The following is a 24,332-nucleotide window of genomic DNA, read 5'->3' on the forward strand; positions in this document are numbered from 1 at the left end:
CAACATGAAAGCGGAGATCACAAGGACAGCACCAGGTCATGAGGCATCTGCCTCCATGACCCAAAACCTCCCACCAGGCCCCAGCTCCAACATTGGAGATTACATCTTAACATGAGATTTGGAGGGGATAGGATATCCAAAATATTACTCTGCCTCTGGCCCCCCAAATCTCATTCCTTCTCACACTGCAAAATATACTCATCGCTTCCTAATGGTCCTCTAAATTCTTAACTCATTCCTGCATTAACTCAAAAGTCCCAAGTCCAAAGTCTCATCTGGAGATGCGTTCCTTCCACCTATGAACTTGTAAAATCAAAACCAGTTATTTCCAACATACAATGGGAATACAGGTATTGGGTAAATATTTTTATCCCTAAAGGAAGAAATTGTCCAAAAGAAAGGGGCCATAAGCTCTATGCAAATCTGAAACCCAACAGGGCAGTCATTCAGTCTTAAAGCTCCGAAAATAATCTCTGTTGACTCCCTGTCTTGCATCCAGGGCACAACAGTTCAGGGGTGGGCTCCCAATGCCTTGGGCAAGCTGCATCCCTGTAACTTTGCAGGGTGCAGCCCCTGTGGCTGCTCTCATAAGTCAGAGTTGAGTGCCTGCAGTTTTTCCAGGCACAGGATTCAAGCTGCTGGTGGACTACCATTCTGGAATCTAGAGGACAGTGGCTCCCTTCCCATAGCTCCACTAGGCAGTACCACAGTTGGGACTCTGTGGGGCCTCCAACCCCACATTTTCTCTCTGCACTGCCCTAGTAGAGGTTGCCTGTGAGGGCTCAGCCCCTGCAGCAGACTTCTGCCTGGGCACCTAGACTTTCCTGTACATCCTCTGAAATCTAGGCCAAGGCTGCCTAGCCTCCTTCACTCTTGCACTCTGCATGCCTGCAGGCTTAACACCTCATGGAAGCCTCCAAGGCTTACAGCTTGTGCCCTTGAAAGCAGCAGCCAGAGCTGTACCTGGGGCCCTTTGAGCCATGGCAAGAACTAGAGCAGTAGGGATGTGGGCAGCAGCCTCCCTTAGGTGGCCCAGGGCGTTGGTGCTCTGGGCATGACCCACAAAACCACTTTTTTCTCTTAGGTTTCTGGGCCTGTTATGGGCAGAGGCACCTCAGAGATTTCTGGAATGCCTTCAAGGCCTTTTGCTCATTGTTGTGGCTACCAGCACTTGGCTCCCTTTTAGTCATGGTAATAACTCTAGCAAGTGGTTGTTCTGCAGTCTTCTTGAATTCCTCTTCTGATAATGCTTTTTCTTTCTCTGCCACATGACCAGGCTGCAAATTTTCGTAACTTTCACATTCTGCTTCCCTTTTAAATATAAATTCCAACATTAAGTCATTTCTTTGCTCCCTCATCTGAGGATAGACTTTTAGAAGCAGCCAAGCCCTTCTTGAAAGCTTTGTTGCTCTGAAATTTCTTCCACCAGATATCCCAAGAAATTATTCTTAAGTTCAAACTTCCCAGATCTCTACTGTATGGATAGAAAATAGCCAAGTTCTTTGGTAAGGCATAACAAGGGTGACCTTTGCTCCAGTTCCCAACAAGTTTCTTATTTCCATCTGAGACCTCATCAGCCTGGATGTCACTGCTGATATCACTATTAGCATTTTGGTCACAACCATTTAACCAGTCTCTAAGAAATACCAAGCTTTCCATCACCTTCTTTTCTTCTTTTGAGCCCTCTAAAATCTTCAAACCTCGGCTTGTTACCCAATTACAAAGCTGCTTCCATATTTTCAGGTATCTTTATAGCAATGCTCCACTCTTCAGTACCAATTTTCTGTGTTAGGCCACTTTTTTATTCTTATTAAGAAATACCTGAGGCTGGGTAACTTATAAAGAAAAGAAGGTTTAATTGGCTTAAGGTTCTGCAGGGTGTACAGGAAGGGTGGTGCCATTATCTGCTTGGCTTCTGGGAGAACTCAGGGAGCTTTTACTCATGGTAGAAGGTAAAACAGGAGCAAGCACATCACATCGCAAGAGTGGGAGCAAGACAGAATGTGAGGGACGGGTGCCACATACTTTTAAACAAACTGATCTCTTGAGAACTCACTCACTATCATGAGGACAGCACTAAACCAGGAAGGATCCACCCCCATGACCCAAACACCTCACACAAAGCCCCACCTCTAATATTGGGGATTATATCTCAATATGATATTTGGAGGGGACATTCAAAATATATCACCAGGCTAATGTTTTTATTTTTATTTTGTAGAGACAGGGTCTCACTATATTGGCCCAATTGGTCTCAAACAATCTTTCCACATCAGCCTTCCAAGGCACTGGAATTATAGATATGAGCCATCACACCTAGCCTTTTATTCTTAGTATATTTTTAAATTTTGTGTGCAAACAGTATGAGATAAACAGGCCAATAAAGGATCAGAGAATTCAGTTATGAAAAGCAATTCAGTATTGATACATGTCACCAAATGGATAAAATTGGAAACACTATATTAAGTGAAGGAAGCCAGACACAAAAGGTGACACTTTGTATTAATATATTTCCATTTATATGAGCTATCAGGAGGAGGCAAGTCCATGGAGACAGGAAGTCTGTATGACATAAAAACAGAAAGTTGTTGACAGGGAGGGGTGTGGGGATTGGTGGAGGGGGAAATAGGGAGTGATTGCTAAATGGTGTGAGGTTTCCTTGTGGGGTGATATAAGTGTTCTGGAACTAGATAATGGCAATGGTTGCTCAACATGTATTAAGTTCCACTGAATTGTACATTATAAATGATGAAAATGGTGAATTTTACATTAAGTATATTTTACTACAATAAAAGAAGAAAAGGATTACAGAAAATAAGGTAATCTGGTCAAGAATAAAGACAGCTCTACTATTCAGTTTTCTCTCAGGTCTCCAAGTGACCTCAGCAAAGAGTACTTGGAACGTGTAGACTTTTTTTTTTTTTAATTTAACACAGTCCTGAAAAAATTAAAGGGAAATCAAATAATAAAATCCAATGATTTCTCCTTAACACATCTATGAAACCTGTTTTGTTAACTTCCTACTCAGCCATATGGACAGACATCCACATTTCAATTTTCTATTTCCTCTACTTCAGCACACAGTTCATTTACAAATGTATATACCAGAATTCCTTCATTCAGTGGAATCTCCAGTGCTACCTGTAACCCGTCTCATGGAAAGAAAAGAAAAGGAGGGAAAAGCCTCCAATTGGCCTGGTAGACAAGGGACAGAAATGATTGCAGGAGAAGAAGAGCACTGCCTGAGTGTCAAACTAGAAAAGTTTATTTTCCTTTTCCTTTTCTTTTTACCTTTGTTATCCGTCTTCCTTCTACCTACTTTTCCCTTCATTCTTTTGAATTTATAAAACACTAATTGGCTGCATTATTTTTATTTATTTGCAAAACAGCTATAATCAGTTTCCTTGCTGTTCTGCAAGTGTTATTGTTTTGAACCATGCCAGAGGGGCTTTGGAGGTTGATGGAGGGATCTCTTGGGAACTTAACTTTTCCAATTTTGGGGGTAAAAGATTTTGTTTGAATTGGCTTTTGCTAGGAGCTTCAAGCTTGGTTCTTGCCTCTTTAACAAAGGACAGAAAAGCACCACATTTTCTTTGTGGTTCTAACAAATAAAGGATTGTATTTCCTCTTTGAGACTTTTAGGTGTTTTTGCTATGTCCTTTAATAGCTAGATAGGTATTACAGGAAGATGACATAAATAATTCGATAGAAATAATCTGATATTTTAGAATTTGCTTTAGCCATCCTGGTCCCACTCTACTTCTTGTAGCAAATGACTTTAGAAGGGCATTACTGTGTCTCTACAGAAAATCTAAAACAAATTAGCTGGGCATGGTGGCTTGAGCCTGTAGTCCCAGCTACTATAGGGGCTAGGGTGGAGGATTGCCTGAGCTCAGGAGTTTGAGGCTGCTGTGAGCTATGATTGTGCTACCGCATTCCAGTCTGGGCAACGGAACAATACCTTGTCTCAAATAAAAAATGTTTTAAAAAGGAGGGCATTATCTTTATATATGTATTTAAATGTAAATATTTAAGTATGTATTGTATATAAAGTATGAATATATATTTAAAATTTTATTTGCATAGGAATTTGCTAATTATAAAGAATTATGATATAAAATGAGCAATATTTTAAATGAAATGGCCACAATTCTGAAACCACCTTGGCAAATATTATGACAATGAGAGAAATCTAACATGGCGGACTCCATTTTGTCTCCAGCCTTAGACTGGCTGTCTTCATTCATTCCTGGGAGTAGGCCAAGCTAACCATGGGGGGAATTTAATTTATAGTTTAACTTTGAAGCAAGAATGAAAGTAGTTCCTAAACTGATCCCCTCCTTGTTTGGCGACTGAAACTGCCTTTGTAAGATTAACAAAAGGCCACAGGATTAGGATCATGGGAGGGGCCTAAATTCTGCAAGGATGTAAGCATAGTTTCTATAATTCTTTACTGCTCAGGAGTCAGTCATGTGGCCAGAAGTCACATGATTTGTGACTTCCCCAATTGCTCCTATAGATAACATCACTATTATAGAACCTATGATTGGCCTTCTGATATGTTTTTCAGACATTTACAACCAAGTGACCCCACCTGGACTCACGACTTGTGACTCAACCGGTCCTGCGGTCTCCCACCCAGAGGCAGAGTCAGTGCACGAGGACTGTTTTCCACACCCCTATGATTGCATTCCCAACCAATCAGAAGCACTTATTCCCTATTCCCCTGCCCACCAAATGATCCTTGTAAAACCCAAACCTTCAAGTATTCAGGGAGAATGATTTGGGTAATAACTCCAGCCCTTGTGCTCAGTGGCCTTGCATTAATTTAATTCTTTCCCTATTGCTATACCACTGCAATAGGGAAAGTCTTGGTGAATAGGTTTTGTGTGTGCAGTGGCAGGAAGAACCTGTCAGTTGATTACAATCCCTCCAACCTAGAGATAACTACTTTTAAAATTCTTGGATTATGTCTAAATCATATCTATATAACTCTCTACCTACACATCCTTGTGTAAACATGCACATATACACACACCCATATGCTATATATATATATGCATCAAGTTTTAATGTATATATGTGGTATAAATACATAAGTATATTTTTGTATATGCATATATAAAAATAATCATATTTTTACGTATGTATATAATAATATATGTATGATTTCATGTTTGTATATAAATTTCATAAAAATTATGTATGCATGTATATAAATATATTATTATCTACATACATACACAGAGATATGCTAATTTTTAAAAGGGACCAAAATGAACACATTTCTATAACAATAAAAATAGTTGTGCTTCATTGTTTTAATAATGGTTTATAGTTTTCCATTGTATGTGATTCTATAATTTTTTATGAACAATTCTCCTTTATTGATGTCAACTTATTTTTAATTTTTTTGCCATTATTAACAAGACTATGAACAGCATGGTGGGCAAGATTATTGGAGAAACTCTTAAAAAATAAAATCTTTACATATTATAGGTTAAATGTAATCTACTTACTTTTATGGGTATGGTTGATTTGGAAGAATGTAATTAAAATTACCCAAACAGAAAGGGTTACACTAATGTGAAAGTTGTGGCTAGCATAGATTGCAGGTCTTGACATCCCAGAATGGGAGTTGGCAAACTTTTTCTAATGGGGTCAATTAGTAAGTGCTTTAGGCTTTGTAGGAAAAGAGGCAAAATTGAAAATACTATGTAGTACTTACATAACCATTTAAAATGTCACTACTCAAAAAACAGGAAAATCACTCATAGTTCATAGGCTGTAAAAAACAGCTGTATGGATTTGGCCTATGGGCCATAGTTTGCTGACATCTGATCTAAAGACTTGCACTAATGGCAGAGACAATGTGGAAGGCAGGAGATAAGACTTTATCCATACTAAATGGGAACTTAGAACTGAGAATCTATACCTAGCCTTATCTTTAATTCAAAGGTGGACCAGGAAAATATCTACTGTCTAAAGGAAGACTAAGACAAATTCTGTTGGTTTCTTCTATGAGTAGAAAACAAGATAAGAACTCTTGAGAACTTAAAACCCCATATCTGCTTTCAGAGTGTTTGGGCTGCAAATTTGTAATTCTAGAAACAGAAGCAAATAAATTAACCTAAAGTGCTCCCAGCGAGGTAGTCCTTTAAACACAAAAGTCAATCCCCTCTGGACAGGTACACTCTCAACCCTGACTTCATGGGCTTCCCACAAAGTTTAGCTAAACGTGAGCTGAAGACCTAAATTCACACAATAATGAAAACATCAGCTGCAATGAAATTGAATCAGCAAAAATACACAATAACAGAATTTGATTCCTGGAACCACCAGAAGTTGGAATGATCAGGTACAGGATAGCAAATAAATATATATAATATATTATAATATACTACTATATAGTATATGTAAATATATGTATTACATATTATATATAAATATACTATATACTATATACTATACAATACTTATTTATATATAAATATTTATATATTTTATATATAGTACAATTATTTTATGTATACTTTTATATATAAATTTTTATATACAAATTTTATATACAAATAATATATAATATTTATATATTATAATAAAATTTGAATTTGTAATATACATTTGAATTTGTAAAATATAAAATTGTATATAATTGAACTTATAATATAATTTGAATTATATATAACACATCATATATCATATATATGATATATATTCAAATTGTGTGTATATATAACTATATATATATGCACACACACACACAATTTGAATTTGAACAACTAACTAGGCACAATTTAAAGATGCTAGGTAGAATTTAAACAAATATAAAAATACATATAATCAAGTAAGCTAAAAACCCAATGGTGTAAAACAGCAGATAAAACATGGAAGTAAAGAGAGAAATCATGCTGCTTCCAGAAAAATAGCATATCATATTTTGTGCTTGATTAATTAGTAGATAGATCTTGAAAAGAAGTTACTTTTAATCACTTTCTGTCCCTTCAGCATGTAAAAAATATTTTTGTAGCACTTCCCTTCAAATGTAAGTAAGAAGTAGTAAAAGACAAAACAGTCAACAGGGCAAAGAAATGCCAACATGCTCATTGTATAGAGTGAATTAAGTTTTGGGCCAGCAATAAGGTGGAGGAGCTGACCCTTACAGGCCTACAGGAACTTGGGACTTTCAAAGAGGCTTGACTATCACAAGTAAAAAGATTTGTTAAAGTTGATGAGCAAGTGTTCAAATTAATAGGTTAGAAAGCCAGGAGCGGTGACTCACCCCTATAATCCCAGCACTTTGGGAGGCAGAGGCAGGCGGATCACAGGGTCAGGATGTGTCCGGAATTGGTGGGTTCTTGGTCTCACTGACTTCAAGAATGAAGCCAAGAACCCTGGCAGTGAGTATTACAGTTCTGAAAGGCAGCGTGTCTGGAGTTTGTTCCTTCTCATGTTCAGACACGTTCAGAGTTTCTTCCTTCTGGTGGGTTCATGGTCTCGCTGGCTTCAGGAGAATAGCTGCAGACCTTTGTGGTGAGTGTTACAGCTCATAAAGGCAGTGTGGACCCGAAGAGTGAGCAGCAGCAAGATTTATTGCAAAGAGCGAAAGAACAAAGCTTCCACAGTGTGGAAGGGGACCCGAGCAGGTTGCCACTGCTGGCTGGGGCAGCCTGCTTTTATTCCCTTATCTAGCCCCACCCACATCCTGCTGATTGGTCCATTTTACGGAGAGCTGTTTGGTCTGTTTTACAGAGAGCTGATTGGTCCCTTTTGACAGGGTGCTGATTGGTGCGTTTACAATCCCTGAGCTAGACACAAAAGTTCCCGAAGTCCCCACTAGATCAGCTAGACACAGAGCATGGATTGGTGCATTTACAAACCTTGAGCTAGACACAGGGTGCTGATTGGTGCATTTACAAACCTTGAGCTAGATACAGAGTGCTGACTGGTGCATTTACAAACCTTGAGCTAGATACAGAGTGCTGATTGGTGTATTTACAATCCCTTAGCTAGACATAAAGATTCTCCAAGTCCCCCCTAGACTCAGGAGCCCATTTGGCTTCACCCAGTGGATCCAGCACCAGGGCCGCAGGTGGAGTTGCCTGACAGTCCTGGGCCACTCCTCAGCCCTTGGGTGGTTGATGGGACCCGGCGCCGTGGAGCAGGAGGGCGCGCTCACAGGGGAGGCTCTGGCAGCACAGGAGCCCACCACAGGGCAAGGGGCGGGGGCGGGGGGAGGCTCACGCAGGGCGGGCTGCAGGTCCCCAGTCCTGTCCCATGGGGAGGCAGCTAAGGCCCTGCGAGAAATGGAGGGCAGCGCAGGTGGGCCGGCACTGCTGGGAGACCCGACGCACCCTCAGCAGCTGCTGGCCTGGGTGCTAAGCCCCTCACCACCCGGGCCCGGCAGGGCCTGCCGGCCTCTCCAAGTGCAGGGCCCGCCAAGCCCACGCCCACCCGGAACTCTAGCTGGCCCGCAAGCGCCTGCACAGCCCCTGTTCCCGCCTGAGCCTCTCCCTCCACACCTCCCCGCAAGCTGAGGGAATGGGCTCCCGCCTCGGCCATCCCAGGAAGGGGCTCCCACAGTGCAGCGGCGGGCTGAAGGGCTCCTCAAGCATGGCCAGAGTGGGCCCCGAGGCCGAGGAGGCACCAAGAGCCAGGGAGGGCTGTGAGGGCTGCCAGCACACTGTCACCTCTCAAGGAGATCGAGACCATCCTGGCTAACAAGGTGAAACCCCGTCTCTACTAAAACTAAAAAAAAATTAGCTGGGCGTGACAGCGGGCGCCTGTAGTTCCAGCTACTCGGGAGGCTGAGGCAGGAGAATGATGTGAACCTGGGAGGTGGAGCTTGCAGTGAGCCGAGCTTGCACCTGGGTGACAGAGCGAGACTCCGTCTCAAAAAAAAAAAGAGGTTAGAAAAGCTAAAACAGGGAAGGTGTAGTGGCTTATGCCTGTAATCCCAGAATTTAGGGAGGCTGAGGATGGCAGATTGCTTTAGCCCAGGAATTCTAGACCAGCGGTAGGCAACACGGCAAGATCTTGTCTCTCCAAAAAAAAAAAAAAAAGCAAAAAAAAAAATAGCCAGGTGTGGTTGTACAGCACTCCAACCTGGGCAACAAACCTAGACTCTGTCTCAAAGGAAAAAAAAAAAGAAAGAAAGGAAAGGAAGGAAAAGAAAAGCAAAATAATAAACCCAGAGTACATAGAAAGAGTTAGATAATAAAGGTAAGAGCAGAACTTAACAAAACAGAAAAATAGTATAAAATTGAGGTGATTTCTAGATTCAAATGATAATGCTTTAAAAAGATTTAAAAACAAACAAGCATTTTAGGAAAAATTAAAACACAAATAAATAATATGCCGAAAGAATGGGGGCAATTTGTCAGCAAAGATTACAGTTAAGAGAATATATGAAGTGTCAATAAATTTGAACATTTACTTAAAATGGACAATTTCCTAGAGCCTAAAGTTTACCAAAACTGACACAAGAGGAAATGCATAGCTGAAAGAGTCCTTTAACTGGTAAAGAAATTAAATCAATTGTTTAAAATCCTTCACTGAGAAAATACCAGACCCAGATCATTTGGGAGGTGAATTCTATCAAACTTCTAGTACAAAGAGAATATCAGTTTTAACAAAAAGTTCTAAAGAGTAAGAAAAGAATCTTCCTTTAATTATTTCATGAAGCTTATATAATGTTGATACTGAACATAGATAAGAACTGTAAAGAAATTTATAAGCCAAATTCACTCATGGATATAAAAGCAAAATGTTTAAACCACTGTATTACCTGCCTAAGTCCACTAGAGTGAGAAAAAAGCATGACTGACAGGTCATCCAAGAAATGTGAGGGTGGTTTAATATCAGGAATACATTTATTTAATTGACTGTATTTTATTTATCTTTTAGTTTTTTTAATTTGATAAATATCAATATTGTGTTGCCTTTGTGGTAAGCACTGTCCCAAATGGTTTCCAAATATTTACTCCTTTTAACCTCCTATTGTCTCCAGGAGAAGGCACTATCATATCTTGCTTCCCTGTTTCAGGTGAGGACTCCACTGCAAAGCATATGGAGATGAAGTAACATGTAGAGATTGTACGGGTGATCAGTGGTTGAATCAGGACGAGAACTCCTGAGTTCATGTCCTGAACCAGTGCCCTTTATTGACGTTTACATTATAGATTAAAGAAAACAACCGGCCAGGCGCGGTAGCTCACGCCTGTAATCCCAGCACTTTGGGAGGCCAAGGCGGGTGGATCACAAGGTCAAGAGATTGAGACCAACCTGACCAACATGGTGAAACCCCATCTCTGCTAAAACTACAAAAATTAGCTGGGCATGGTGGCACGCACCTGTAATCTCAGCTACTCAGGAGGCTGAGGCAGGAGAATCCCTTGAACCCAGGAGGCAGATGTTGCAGTGAGCCAAGATTGCGCCACTACATTCCAGCCTGGGTGACAGAGCGAGACTCCATCTCAAGAAAACAAAACAAACAAACAAAAACAACCATGTGCTTCTCTCAAGAGATGCAGAGAAAGCATGTATATTTCTAAATATATTTCCCAGGGTTTTTTACTTGTTTTTTGACCTTCTTTTTAGTATGTTTTTCCATGGAGAAATTTGAAATTCTTATATAATTAAGATCATTTTTTCTTTGTAGCTTAAAAAGATATTCCTCACTAAGAATAAAAAATTTCAAGTCTCCAGGTTTCTATAGTTCCATTATATCTATTTTATTTCTTTTTTTTTTTATTTTTAGGGGTGAAGCCTTGCTCTGTCACCCCAGGCTGGAAGGCAGTGGCTTAACCATAGCTCACTGCAGCCTCCACCATCTGAACTCAAGTGATCTTCCTGCCTCAACTTCTCAAGTAGTTGGGACTGCAGACACATTCACCATGCTCAGCTACGGGAGAGATGGGGATCTAGCTATGTTGCTAAGGCTGGTCTCAAACTCTTAGCCTCAAGTGATCCTTCTGCCTCAGCTTTCCAAGTGCTGGAATTACAAGTATGAGCCACTGCGCCCAGCCTCTACATTTTTAAATAGTTAATATATCTAGAGTTTATTAACGATTAGCTATATTTTCACCTTTGTTGAATAATTTTTGTTACTGATCCAAAATGTCAATTTTATTATAATTTCAATTCTCTTATATTCTTGAATCTAATTTTAGGCATTTTCCCATTGATTAGTCTAATTCTGAACCAAAATGCTGTTTTTAATTATAATATAGAAAATATAATGAATTACATAATATAACAAAAAATAAATTACCATAAAACATGCTCAAAATAGAATAAAGTTATATCATCATCTGAAAGATCCACAAATGGTATTTTATAAAATGCAACATTCATTTCTAATTTTAAAATATTAATAAATCAGAATAGATGAATGTTTCTGCAACATGAAGAAATTATATATCTAAAAAAGAAAACAAGGGGTAGACATATTAGTCTGTTCTCACATGGCTATAAATAAATACCTGAGACTGGGTAATTTATAAAGAAAAGAAGTCTAATTGACTCACAGCTCTGCAGGCTGTGCAGGAAGCATAGTGGCTTCCTCTTCTGGGGAGGCCTCCTGTAACTTACAATCATGGCAGAGGTCAAAGGGGAGCGAGTGTCTCACATGACTGGAGCAAGAGGAAGACAGAGCAAGGGGAGGTGTTACACACTTTAAAACAACAAGATCTCGTGAGAACTCTATCACCAGAATAGAACTAGAGGGATGGTGCTGAACCGTTCATGAGAAACCGTCCCACCAGGCCCCACCTCTAGCATCAGGTATTACATTTCCACAGGAAATTTGGGTGGGGACACAGATCCAGACCGTTATCAGCAAGATATTGATAAAACTTTACTAACATTGGCAATAAGTGCAGGACAAAATGAGGATGCCTAATATAATATCAAATAAAAAACTATTGGGTGTAGTGGCTCACATCTGTAATCTCAATACTTTGGGATGCCAAAGTGGGCAGATCACTTGAGCTCAGGAGTTCAAGACCAGCCTGGGTAACATGGTGAAAACCTGTCTCTACAAAAAATACAATAATTATTCAGGCGTGGTGGCAGGCACCTGTAGTCCCAGCTACTAGAAGACCTAGGTAGGAGTATTAATTGATCCCATGAAGTCAGGCTGCAGTGAGCTGTAATCATGCCACTGCAATCCAGCTGGGGTGACAGGGTGACACCCCCGTCTCAAAAAAACAGAACAAAACAAAAAAACTATTATTAACCATGGTTTTTGAAGCACTGATAATTCAGTTAGAAAAGAGTATCTCATTCTTTAATATCAACTTTTTCATTGCATGAATATAACATAGTTTGTTTAACCAATTCATTATTAGTACATATCTGGGTTTCTAGGGTTTTTTTTTTTGAAATTTTTTTCTGAAAAATGGAGATTCAAATTCCAAGACTTTCTCCTATGTCCATATCTTTTATTTATTTATTTATTTTTGGAGACAGGGTTTCACTCTATTGTCGAGGCTGGAGTGTGGTGGTGCAATCACCACTTACTGCAGCCTTGCCCTCTCTAGCTAGGCTCAGGTGCACCCCAGCCTCCCAAGTAGCTCCAAATACAGGTGTGCACCACCACACCTGGCTACTTTGTGTGTGTGTATGTGTGTGTGTGTGTGTGTGTGCATATATATATATATGTATATACATATACATATTTTCCAAGTTCTAAGCTCATTCCACAACTTGCCACAAAGAAACAATAATCACTTTCTAAGGGACCTATGTATATATACATGTATATATATACACATATATACATATACATATACGTATATATATATATATATATATATATATACACACACGTATATATATATATACACACACACATATATATATATATTTTTTTTTTAGAGAGATGGGTTTTGCTGTGTCGCCCAGGGTAATCTCAAACTCCTGGGCTCAAGTGATCTGCCCACCTCAGCCTACCAAAGTGCTGGGATTACAGGAATAAGCCACAATGCACAGCCCATATCTTTTAAAAGAGATAATATCTTCACAGATTATTTAACTGTGCTTGCTGCTTCAGCCACTAGCAGAGTGCTGCTACTTCCAATGCTTCTTTTTATATTCCTAGTTGAGATTACAAAATGAAAATTAAAAGTGTGTCTTCTACTTGGAGATTGTGGAGATAAGTCTTGATGATAAAGACTTGATAAATTCTAGAAACATAAACTTAGAACAAATATTTTCCCAGCTATAACTATGTGTGAATCCCTTGGCTTGATCTTGTAGAAGAGACAAAGTAAGACTCTGCAGGTCTTGCCCTTAAAGTGCTTACAATATGATTAACTTAGTAAAGTACGGTTGGCTGTCTAATCCAAGATAGATGTAATAGCTACTTTTCTGTTATAGCAACATTTGGTTGAGAAAATGTGGGAGTCATTGTAGATTTTTGGTTTAAAAAATTAAGAAATAAAAATTGTGTTGGCAGATGATTTTCCTGGTTCAACTGTGGGGATGCGTTGGAAAGTGGCTAAAAGGGAAATTAGCTTAGCCAAAGTTAAACTCCTATGTTGGTGAGCATTCATTAAATATTTATGATCTATGTTTTTTTCTGATCATCATTTATCCCAACGTATGCCCCTTTTTGATGTCTGATTAATCATTATCAAAGATATAATTAACAATAATTATTACTATATGTATTAAGTTTTGCCTGGGTCCTGAAGAGAAACTGCCCCAAATTAGCAGCTGTGATCTTCACTTGATTTCCTTACAAAGAACAGTGGGAATTTCTGGTTTTAAAGTGAATTAAAATGTGAAACTAATTAGATTATCATAGATGACCCTGCAGAGCCCATTGGTGAAAATTTGGAAAACACAAGGACTTCGTAAAGTGGATTCTTGTAGAGTTTTTGGAGAGAAAAATGAACCAAAAGGATGGCAAAATACTTCTTGTTCTGTTATTTGTCTTCTATATGGAAACATCACTGAAGTTTCTGGACTCCATTTTCCCATGTGGGAAGTTTACTAACAATATCCAATTCCATTCTATCACCATGTAACTTCTGAAACTAAGCAAAAATGCTGATTTATTCATCTCAGTAAAAACTGAAATGAATATGTAACAGAATAGTTGGAGGGCCCCTTGGAAAGTGACTATTGTTTCTTTGTGGCAAGTTGTGGAATGAGCTTGTAACTGGGAAAATATGTGTTTTGAGTTCTGGATTTGGCCAAATATTAACCACATGACTCTGGATAAATTGTTTAATCTAACTTATCCTCATTTAATGCCTACATCACAGGATGTTGTGATCATTAGTGTAATTATTTGTGTAATATACAGTGTTATGGAAATTCTTGTTGTTATTGTTCTTCTTGCATAAATTCATATCCTTAAGCAACTCACTTAAATAAGTAGTAACTTATCTCCTTAAATTATACCCTATCTTCTGTAATGGGCTAAATTGTCCCCCGACCCTCAAATTTACATGTTGAAGTCCTAATCCCCAAGACATCAGAATGTGGCTGTATTTGGAGATAGAGCCTTTATTTTTTACTTTCATTTTTTATGTTACAGAAGTTGAAATAGGGCTTTTAAAAAGGTGACTACAGTAAAATGAGGTTACATGGTGGAACCTAACCCATGTGATTGGTGTCCTTATACAAGGAAAAGATTAGGATGCAGACATACACAAAAGAAAACCCATGTGAAACCAGAGGGAGAAGATGGCGATCTATAAGCCAACAAGAGAGGCCTCAGAAGAAATCAACCCTGTTGACCCCTTACCTCAGACTTCCAGCCTCCAGAACTGTGAGAAAATAAATATCTGTTGTTTGTCACCCATCCTGTGGTAGTTAGTTATGGCAGCCCTAGCAAACTAATATATCTTCTTATGGCATTCTTGTATTAAGTTGAAAATTCAATATTTGGCATCACAGCCAGAAAAAAAAATTAACGTCTCAATTTTGTGTGTAGTCTTTCTTCCTTATTGTCATTGCTAAAGATTTCCATATTTGGGTATATTTTCTGTATCTTGTAAACAGTGCTATGCTTATTCCTATTATTGCTTCTAATATACAATAAATATGCAGATACTGCATAAAGTTTGAAGAAATGCCACATATAGGATGTACATTTTAGGTATGTATATATATTTATATATTTATGTTTTATAACATTTCTCTATTTTCTCCCTTTGCTGGGATCTAGGAGCCTCCACTTTTGTGACTAGTACATTGAATTCTAGTCACTGAGTTTAATTCATTAAAACTTGTCAAATAATAATAATAATATGGGGAAAGACAAAAGAAAAGAAAATGATGCGCAGAAGAAGAAGCCATCAGGGAAGGGCAATACTATAAAGTGTTAGAATCTTATTAATAGGATTAATTTAGTCTAGAGGGAAAGACATTTGGTGGCACCAATGAGCCTAGTCTTTACTGATTGTTAGAGGCATCTCTAGTTCTGTTTGTTCTTGGTCTCCATCCATATGATTACCAGGGTCTGGGAATAGTATTTGAACAACTACAGTCACTGAATGGAAAAGAAATATATCTTTAGAGAATCAACAGTAATTTTTTGAGCTGATTAAAAAGTATTGTTGACTGGCTCTTGGGAAGCCTGTCATATTCATAAGCAGGAAATTGTTGGGTATGAAAAGTGGATGAAGAGAGGAGAGCAAAAGCTTTGGAAATAGATATATCTGGATTTAATTCCCACCTCTGCCACTTATTAACTGGATAAACCTGGGCAAGTTTCATACCTTCTTGAAATTCACTTACTTTAGTCTGTAAAATGGACATAATAACATATCACAGCATCCTTTCAGGAATTTAAAATCAGTTTTTGAAAGAAAAAGTACTCCATGAAATATATAGAAAATTATGAGCTCCTCATGGGTGTTTGACCTTTTATATTCTACCATCCCTTCTCCCCATCAAAAAGAGAATAATAATCATTTTCCTTCCCTTTTTGTTCACAGAAAATATCTCATGTTATGAAGTGGAAGCATTAAATAGAAAGTAATGGAATGGCCTATTATCCCAAGATGAGAAGGGAAAAAACAGGAATTCCAAATTAGAACATAAATTTTCATTAGGTACTTATTTGTATATGCTACTCTGCTGTTTACAATAGCAATTAAATTTAAAAGACAGTTCCTCACTTCTAAGACTTTATTGTACTCATTTACAAATTATATACCTGACTTATACTAAATTTTCAGAATTGAGGATTTTGCCTTTTTGGTATATTCATTCAAATCCTTATTGGCAAAAGGAGCAATGACTTCAGCAGAGAAAACATAAAACACTGCACTTAAACAAACTATATATATATATATAATGTTATATATTTTACATGCATTTATATCCTTGTTTCATACAACATTGTGATAGCTTACAGGAATATGCCTGATCCAATATATTGCAGAAATATTTAATATAAACAGGGCCAGGGGGAATGCAGATAAACCAGGAAGAAAAAACTAGGGCGGTGAAATTGGAAGAAAGAATAGTCACTCAGGTTGTACCACTGTTTTGACTTTAAGATTCTCCCTGGATAAAGCAGCATAGTAAACATGATTGGCTCCCAAAGCCACATTATTTGCAGGTGCCAGACTGCACATTAACAGTCTGACACCAAGGGACAGCACAGAAAAACTATCCAAAGATAAAGATCTTAAAATCTTTTCAGTTTGGAACTAGATCAGGTATAATAAGCCCCACACACTTCAACACAAAACATATTGTTCATCCTATATCAAATTATGTCTCAGACTATGTTATTGGAAATAGTTGGGGGTATCTGACCCTGCCATCTAAAACTGACCTGTAACATGTAAAGCGCAGGAAGTATTATTGTCCACTTTTCAACATCCGAACAGGAAAACAAAGTTGTTTCACAATGATAATGGAGAATAAAGTAAATACAAAAGGCTATAAAAGCCAAATAAAGTGCTGAAAGAAAGTGTGGACAAAACCAAACCTAACAAAAATCTGGTGAAGAATGGGGGTCCGTGACTGCATAAATCCAATGGAAAAACCTTAGCCAAAGTATAGGCACAAAAAGAAGGGCCCTGCCAAACCTATCACAGTGTAATTATTTTAAATGTCTCCATCTTTTATGAGTAGAGGTGAATCCCTCACTGTGCAGTGCTCCTAGTTTATCACCCACAGGGTCATGAGCACAATTAATAGTTGATGTTTTATACTACTAAGTTTTGGGGGTAGTTAATAATACTAAAATATGTTTGTCTTCTATCTTTATCTATATAGTTAAAGTGAATGGGTTGTGTTTATACCATGTGACCCTTATCCCTAGGCCTGTTTGTTTAAATCAGGGATGTCCACTGAGCCAAATTTGATAATAGACTTCCTTTCCAAAGAATTTGGAACTGGAACATTGTCACAGACACAAAAAACTGCAGAGTTATCTGTAGATCATTTTACACCTTCTGGACTGCAAAACCATTGTAGTTTTGCAAAAATCATTCTTCAAAAGAAGAATAAAGAGGTATGCAGGGAGAAGCAAAGATAAGAAAGTGAGAGAAGAAAGAGATAAGTAGGGTGGGGAGGGTGGGTAGAAAGAGAGACAGAGAGAGAGAGAGAAAAAAAATAGTAGTGCAGGCAAGTGAAAGAGCAGAAAGAGGCAGCAATTGCAATTGTAAGAGACATTGAGAAAGATTAAACCCTTCCTAGTTTCCTCCTGCCTCCCTGGGAACCATCTGTGCCTCAGGCTCCGCTGTCTCAATACCATCCTTGGTTAAAGGAGATTCCCATATCCTTTCAATAAATTCCTTTCTCTTTTAAGCTAGTAAAAGTATATTTTTCTTAGCTTTAACCAAAGAATTGTGATTTGTGCAGGTGATATTCTGATTCTCCCAAAATGCATCTAAAGGTTAGAAAAAATAGATATAGACTCTTAGTCTGGGTAAAGTGATAATATTTCCTAAAGCATTATTTTTGCATATATCTCAGAATAAGAAAGAAAAAGGTAATAAAAATTATGCAGAGTAATGGGTATTAGTAAACTGAAATGAGAAAGGGGGAAAAATTAGGCTAATAGAAAAGCAAGACATAAAAAAAGATAAAATTGCAGGCCATGTCAAGGGAAAATAATAAATACAGAGTAATATGGAGGACAAAAAAAAAGAAGTAAAAGCATTTGGGTAGATTTAAAACAGGGAATATCTAGTTTCCAACTCTTACATCGGAGTATTTGCATGACACTGAAAGTTTCAAACCTGTTTCTAAAGTCTGCAAATTTTTAGGGAACCAACGGTAATTTACATCATTTTTAGTTAAAGGACCTGGGACAGTGACAGAAGCTGAATTTCCTTCTCTGAATGGGTAGGTGTCTGATATGGTTTGGCTGTGTCTCCACCCAAATCTCATCTTGAATTGTAGCTCCCATAATTCCCACATGTTGTGGGAGGGACCTGGTGGGAGAGAACTGAATCATGGGGGCAGTTTCCCCCATACTGTTCTCATGGTGGTGAATAAGTCTCACAAAATCTGATGGTTTTATAAGGGGAAATCCCTTTTGCTTGGCTCTCATTCTCTCTGTTGCCTGCTACCATGTAAGATGTGCATTTTGCCTCCTGCCGTGACTGTGAGGCCACCCTAGAAATGTGGAACTGTAAGCCCATTAAACCTCTTTTTCTTTATAAATTATCCAGTCTCTAGTGTGTCTTTATTAGCAGTGTGAAAACGGACTAATACAGTATCCTTCCTTGTTCTGCCTTCCAACTGAGTCAGCATTGGAGCAAAGAAACACCAATTTTCATTTAATTCAGAATATAATCTTTGGCAACATAGAAACAAATTTGGCTAAGTAATTTGACTCTGCCAAATCATAGTAAATGCACATAGTGAAAAAATGTCTTTTAACTTAACAAATTACTCTTTAAAATATATTAATGTAGACATGTCAGTGGAAAGTTGAAAACAAGCAAAAAAACATTCAGGTAAAGGGTTGAAATAAAAAGTTCACTCCATTACATTCAATTCCTCCTATAAAACTCTCTTTTTAATTTGAGTGGACAGTCAACTGAGAATACCTGATTCTGGGCTAAGAAAATCAAAGCCTTCTCTGTCACACTGTATTCTCTTGGGTCACTTAATAAAGACACAAGTTGGGTTACTGGAAAAATAGTGGGAAAAATCAATCCCTCAGATATAAAGGGCTGCTCTTGGAAGCATGTGAATTGCTGTAGTTACTTTGCTCTTCTGGCCTCTAGAGTCTTTATCTTAACCTTGGCCTCACATGGAGACTGACTTTTTAAACCACTTTCCCATGACCCATTATATGCCTGTCAAAAGAGAAAAACCCAGCTCTTTTCCTGTGCTTTCAACCAGCCAGCTTATTCAAAAATCTATTCGGGTTGTTATAGCTTAACCTTGCCTGGTGAGGGACTTATGGGAAGTTTCTTATGATTTGAAAGACTGGTGCCATATATGTGCCTGCAAAGAAAGAAAAAAGTAAAGAAGAAACAGGTGTGGTTATCAAACACCCCAGTAGTCAAGTGATCTGTCCCAAGGTATGTGACAGCAACTTCTGCAAAGGTAACCTGTCAGAGCTTGCCATCTGGTTGTGTTTTATTCTGGAAGTAACAATAAATATTGACGAATGCTCCTGGTCTTCCCAGTTTCCCAAAGTTCCCTGGATTCATGCTTTAATATCTACCAGGAAAAATAGCACAGTATTTCAAGTCACTACTCTCTGCTTATATTATTGATAGTCACTTCTCATGGCCTCTCCCCTTCAAAGGAGAGTAGATCCTGAGAAGTGTTCTTTGTTTGTCTTTGTGGAGTAACTGGTGGTGATGCAAACTGGAGAGGCTGAGAGATGTTTTCACTGTGGTGTAATAAAACTAAAATGAAGAGATCCAGAAAGATCTTGAAAGGTGGCTGGAGGAGTGTGTAGCAGGAGTTCGGAGTAGAGACATGTGCAGCAAGATGGAGAGGATCTTTGTGGAGGGGAGAAAGAGAAACAAATAATTTACTAAGTTATGTCTTGTGATGTAGGACATGAGTCTCACCCTTCCCCTTTCCCTGGCAATCTCTTCACTAAAGACTGCATTATTCATTAGTGCTACTGAGGTAGATTTGCCATCTTATTTGGATACAGAGATGGATCCATGAATGCAAAATTACATTTGGTTTATCTTTGAATAATGTCACTAATAAGGAACACACATATTGGCCATACTAGCTGTGCACATGCTATAACCATGGTCCTCTATTTAAAGATCAAATTAAGTCTTCTTTTTTTAAGGTCAATCTCAAATTGCAACTCAAATATACATTCGTTGATATACTCAGCCCATAATGAACTGTCCCTTCCTTGTCCTCAAGCTGTGTCTACAAAATCTCATTTTTGAACTTAGAGATTGTCCCATATAACAAATTGTGATTCCATAAGCATATCTTATATCTTCAACACAATTACATGCTTCTGTGTAGCTAGAATCTTCCATTTTCATGATTTTTCTCAGTACTTGCTATGACAATAAGGACATTTATTCATCTAAATATCATTTGAGTATAACTGAAGTATCTCAATTCTGATATTGTTTGGATGGATTAATGCATAAATGAGGGAGTATGTAATAGCATCATGTACCACCCAGATTGTTTTTAAATGCAAACACGAAGAGCAGGCTAAAAAGAGGAGCAGAGCTTTTTGTAAAATATCCATCTCATAGTTGAGTCATTCTGTGAAACTCAGGATGCTCTGGAAAGATTTTGATGGCTGAGTAAGAATATTAAACAAATGAAATTCTTTCAAGCCTATTCAACCTGTCACCAGACAACTTTTTTGTACCTCCCAGGGATTTTATTTAAAACATAGACTTATAAAGTCTTTATAGATAACAGACTTACAAATCTTTATTCAAATCTTCATCTATACATGGATTTTTCTCTATTATTGTGTTCTAAAAGATTTAAAGAAAATACATGATAATTAACAATTGATATTATCTTTCTTATGTCCAAGTTTTTAATAGCAAAAAACCTTCTCTCTACACAATGCCTTCCAATTCTCATAGGTTCAATTCTCAAGTGAATTTTGCTCTGAATGGTGGGACATATAAGATGTAAATGAATTGTTTGTATATGTTTTAAGAATTCTTTGCAATGGCATGGCTATGAAAATGCATAGAATATTTAAATAACTAAAGTCACTTCCTGAGAATTATTATTTCTTCCTGGTTGAGATTCTGTCTACTCTGATTTATAAACATTTCCCTTTAAAGTGGTTTCAATTTTGTTTCGGATGGGTTCCTAGGATTTATTCCAATATCCACCCTGCAAAAGTTTTTTTTTTTTTTTTAATTAATCCCCTTACAGTTTCTCTATCATACAGAACGTACAATGGCAACCTGGTTATCACAACTCTGAAAAAGACAGCACTATTATTTTAGAGCTATTGAAGTTTTCTCTATCTGAAGACCTCAGACAGATGTCAATCTTCTTTGCTACTTCTCTGGGCCCTTTTATGGACTGAACAGCCCCTTATGGACTTCACACAGGACGTCTGTATCAGCTCATCGATATTCTTCCAACTTGAGTCTAGACTTCTGGCCTCCAAATGACGTTAGAGTTATAGCTCCAGCTCGTACCTGCATATTGCCTGGATTTAGGACCAGACCCTGTGAGCATCCGCCTGCTCTTACGTCTCTGGATTTTATTTTTCTCATAATTTTCAAAAAGTGGAGACATGCCTTTCTTCTTTTCAGTTTCAGCTATGTGTTTGTTTTTTTTTTTTTTTTTTTTTTTTTGAGACGGAGTCTCGCTCTGTCGCCCAGGCTGCAGTGCAGTGGCGCGATCTCGGCTCATTGCAAGCTCCGCCTCCCGGGTTCACGCCATTCTCCTGCCTCAGCCTCCCGAGTAGCTGGGACTACAGGCGCCCACTACCACGCCCGGCTAATTTTTTGTATTTTTAGTAGAGACGGGGTTTCACCGTGTTAGCCAGGATGGTCTCGATCTCGATCTCCTGACCTCGTGATCCGCCCGCCTCGGCCTCCCAAAGTGCTGGGATTACAGGCGTGAGCCACCGCGCCCGGCCTCAGCTATGTGTTTTTAAATTTTTCAAAATTCACTTCACATTTCCATATATTAAGAGTAGGAGAGTGACATTAAATTGAGCTTACTCTGCCATTGTATAGGCATATTGGAGATCCAATTTACTAGCTATTTATTGGATTCCATTACCTGGGTGTTTCAGACACCTGAACCTCACCATGTTCCAAATTTCCCTCCTTATTGTTAGTACTTTTGCTCATAATCTGAATGACATGAAATGGAATTAAAGCCAGCGAGTGGTTTTATTAATCAGAGGTAGAGCTTAGGATGCCTGACAGCTATAGGTCAGTAAGTCCTTCTTCCTCTTGGGGCCCTTGATTTAAAGTTAAACTTTGCTTCCTTCTGAGAGGTGTATATGCGGCAGTGAACTAAGAAGCTAGTTTAGGAAACACCACAGTAGTAGCTTCTGCCTAGAATACACTTTACCAAGGTATTCATTGGCAGTCTCTTCTGCCTCATTCAGGTCTCAGTTCAAATGCCACATCCACATAGAATTCTTTCTGGAACACCCAATGAAAATTGTTTTCTGCCTCATCCCATTTTTCCCTTTATTCATTTATTTTTAAATTGCATTTCTCATTTATAAGATGCCAGTGCTTAGAACAGTGCCTGAAACATAGTGTGATTTCAACAAATATTTATGAATTGCATGGATCTAATATTTTCTTCCCAAGAATAAACCTGACCTTTATGAAAACTACTAAGTGTATGTGGCACTTTCCACTTGCTTCCAAAGTCACTGTGCAACCAGTAATTTAATTAAATTAATTACTTTGCAAAGTGCTTGGAGAAATCCAGGATATGAGAGTCAGGATGTAAAATAAAATACTTTCCATTCTGCATATACCAAAGCATTTTACAGATAAATTACTAAAATATTGTGGGTCAGTGACCACAGAGAGCAAAGCTACTGCCTGGTCTAATGTAGCTCAAAAAAGCAAAGGTTTTATAAAGAAGTGAACTATTGCACAAGGCACTGAAGTCTCCTTGCTCCCCTATTCAAAAATTGCCGTAAAATCTGATGTTTACACACCCATCTCTGACCAATGTCTTGGCTTGGAATATTAATGAGATAATAGCTTCCCAGCTGGGAAGCCTCTCCAATAGTAATTCTCAATAATGTATTTCTGGCTGTTCAAAGCTGGGTATAGAAAATAATCAGTACACACATGAAGGATACAAAGTAAAAATTTCATGATGTACCTGCACGTCACAAGTAGTGACAATTCTGATCTTTTGTAAATAAGTGCTGATGGGTTTGGAGGTTCTAGTCATATTCAGTAGTTAGGCAGTTTTGTTTGTTTTTTGAGATGGAGCCTCGCTCTGTCACCCAGGCTGGAGTACAGTGGTGCAATCTTGGCTCACTGCAACCACTGCCGCCCAGGGTCCAGTGATTCTGCTGCCCCAGCCTTGTGAGTAGCTGGGACTGCAGGTGCACACCACCACACCTGGCTAATTGTTGTATTTTAAGTAGAGACGGGATTTCGCCATGTTGGCCAGGCTGGTCTCGAACTCCAGCCCTCAAGTGATCTGCCTACCTTGGGCTCTCAAAGTGCTGGGATTACAGACAAGAGCCACCGTGCCTGGCCTAGTAGTTAGACGGTTTTGTGATGTTTTATATCTATGTATGTCTCATTAGACTTACCTCAAGGTAAGTAACTATCTTTTTCACCCTATACCCCATAGATGAACCAGTGTGTGGTACAGAGTAAGTACTTAGTAATGACAGCTGCTGTTCCTACTCATTCATGCTGTCTTTCACTTCTCCCAGCTTGAGGCAGAGCTTGCACAGAACTTACAAATCTAGGACAACACAGATTAGGAAAAAGTGAAGTGACAAGTGATGCAGGAAGGAAAGAAAGGTGACACAGGCTGGTGCGCTATCAAGCTTCTCAAGGAAACAGCCAGTTTTACTGTCACAAGGGATGTCTCTAGGGAGGCCCTCATGGATGGAACTAAAGCAAATTTGAGCAGCATATCAACAATTGTTGGTATAGTTGTACTTAGGTATGCCCTTTTCCTATTTGTTTTGACTTGTCTCACCTGTTTTTGTCACTCTGTTCCTCCTTTACTGACTTTTTTTGTATTAATAGAATAAATGTTCCATATTTATTGTTTTTGGCATTATAATCATATCTCTTACAATGTATAGAAAATTTTCATCACCTAAAAGCTTGTTTTTTTCCTTCTATTTGGGATATTTTCTATTTCTATATCTTTAGTTATTATTTCATTTTTGTTGTTATTGTTTTTCAGTTTGTTTTGCAAGCCAG

Source organism: Homo sapiens, chromosome 9, assembly GCF_000001405.40.
Source record: "Homo sapiens chromosome 9, GRCh38.p14 Primary Assembly".
Lineage (NCBI taxonomy): Eukaryota > Metazoa > Chordata > Mammalia > Primates > Hominidae > Homo > Homo sapiens.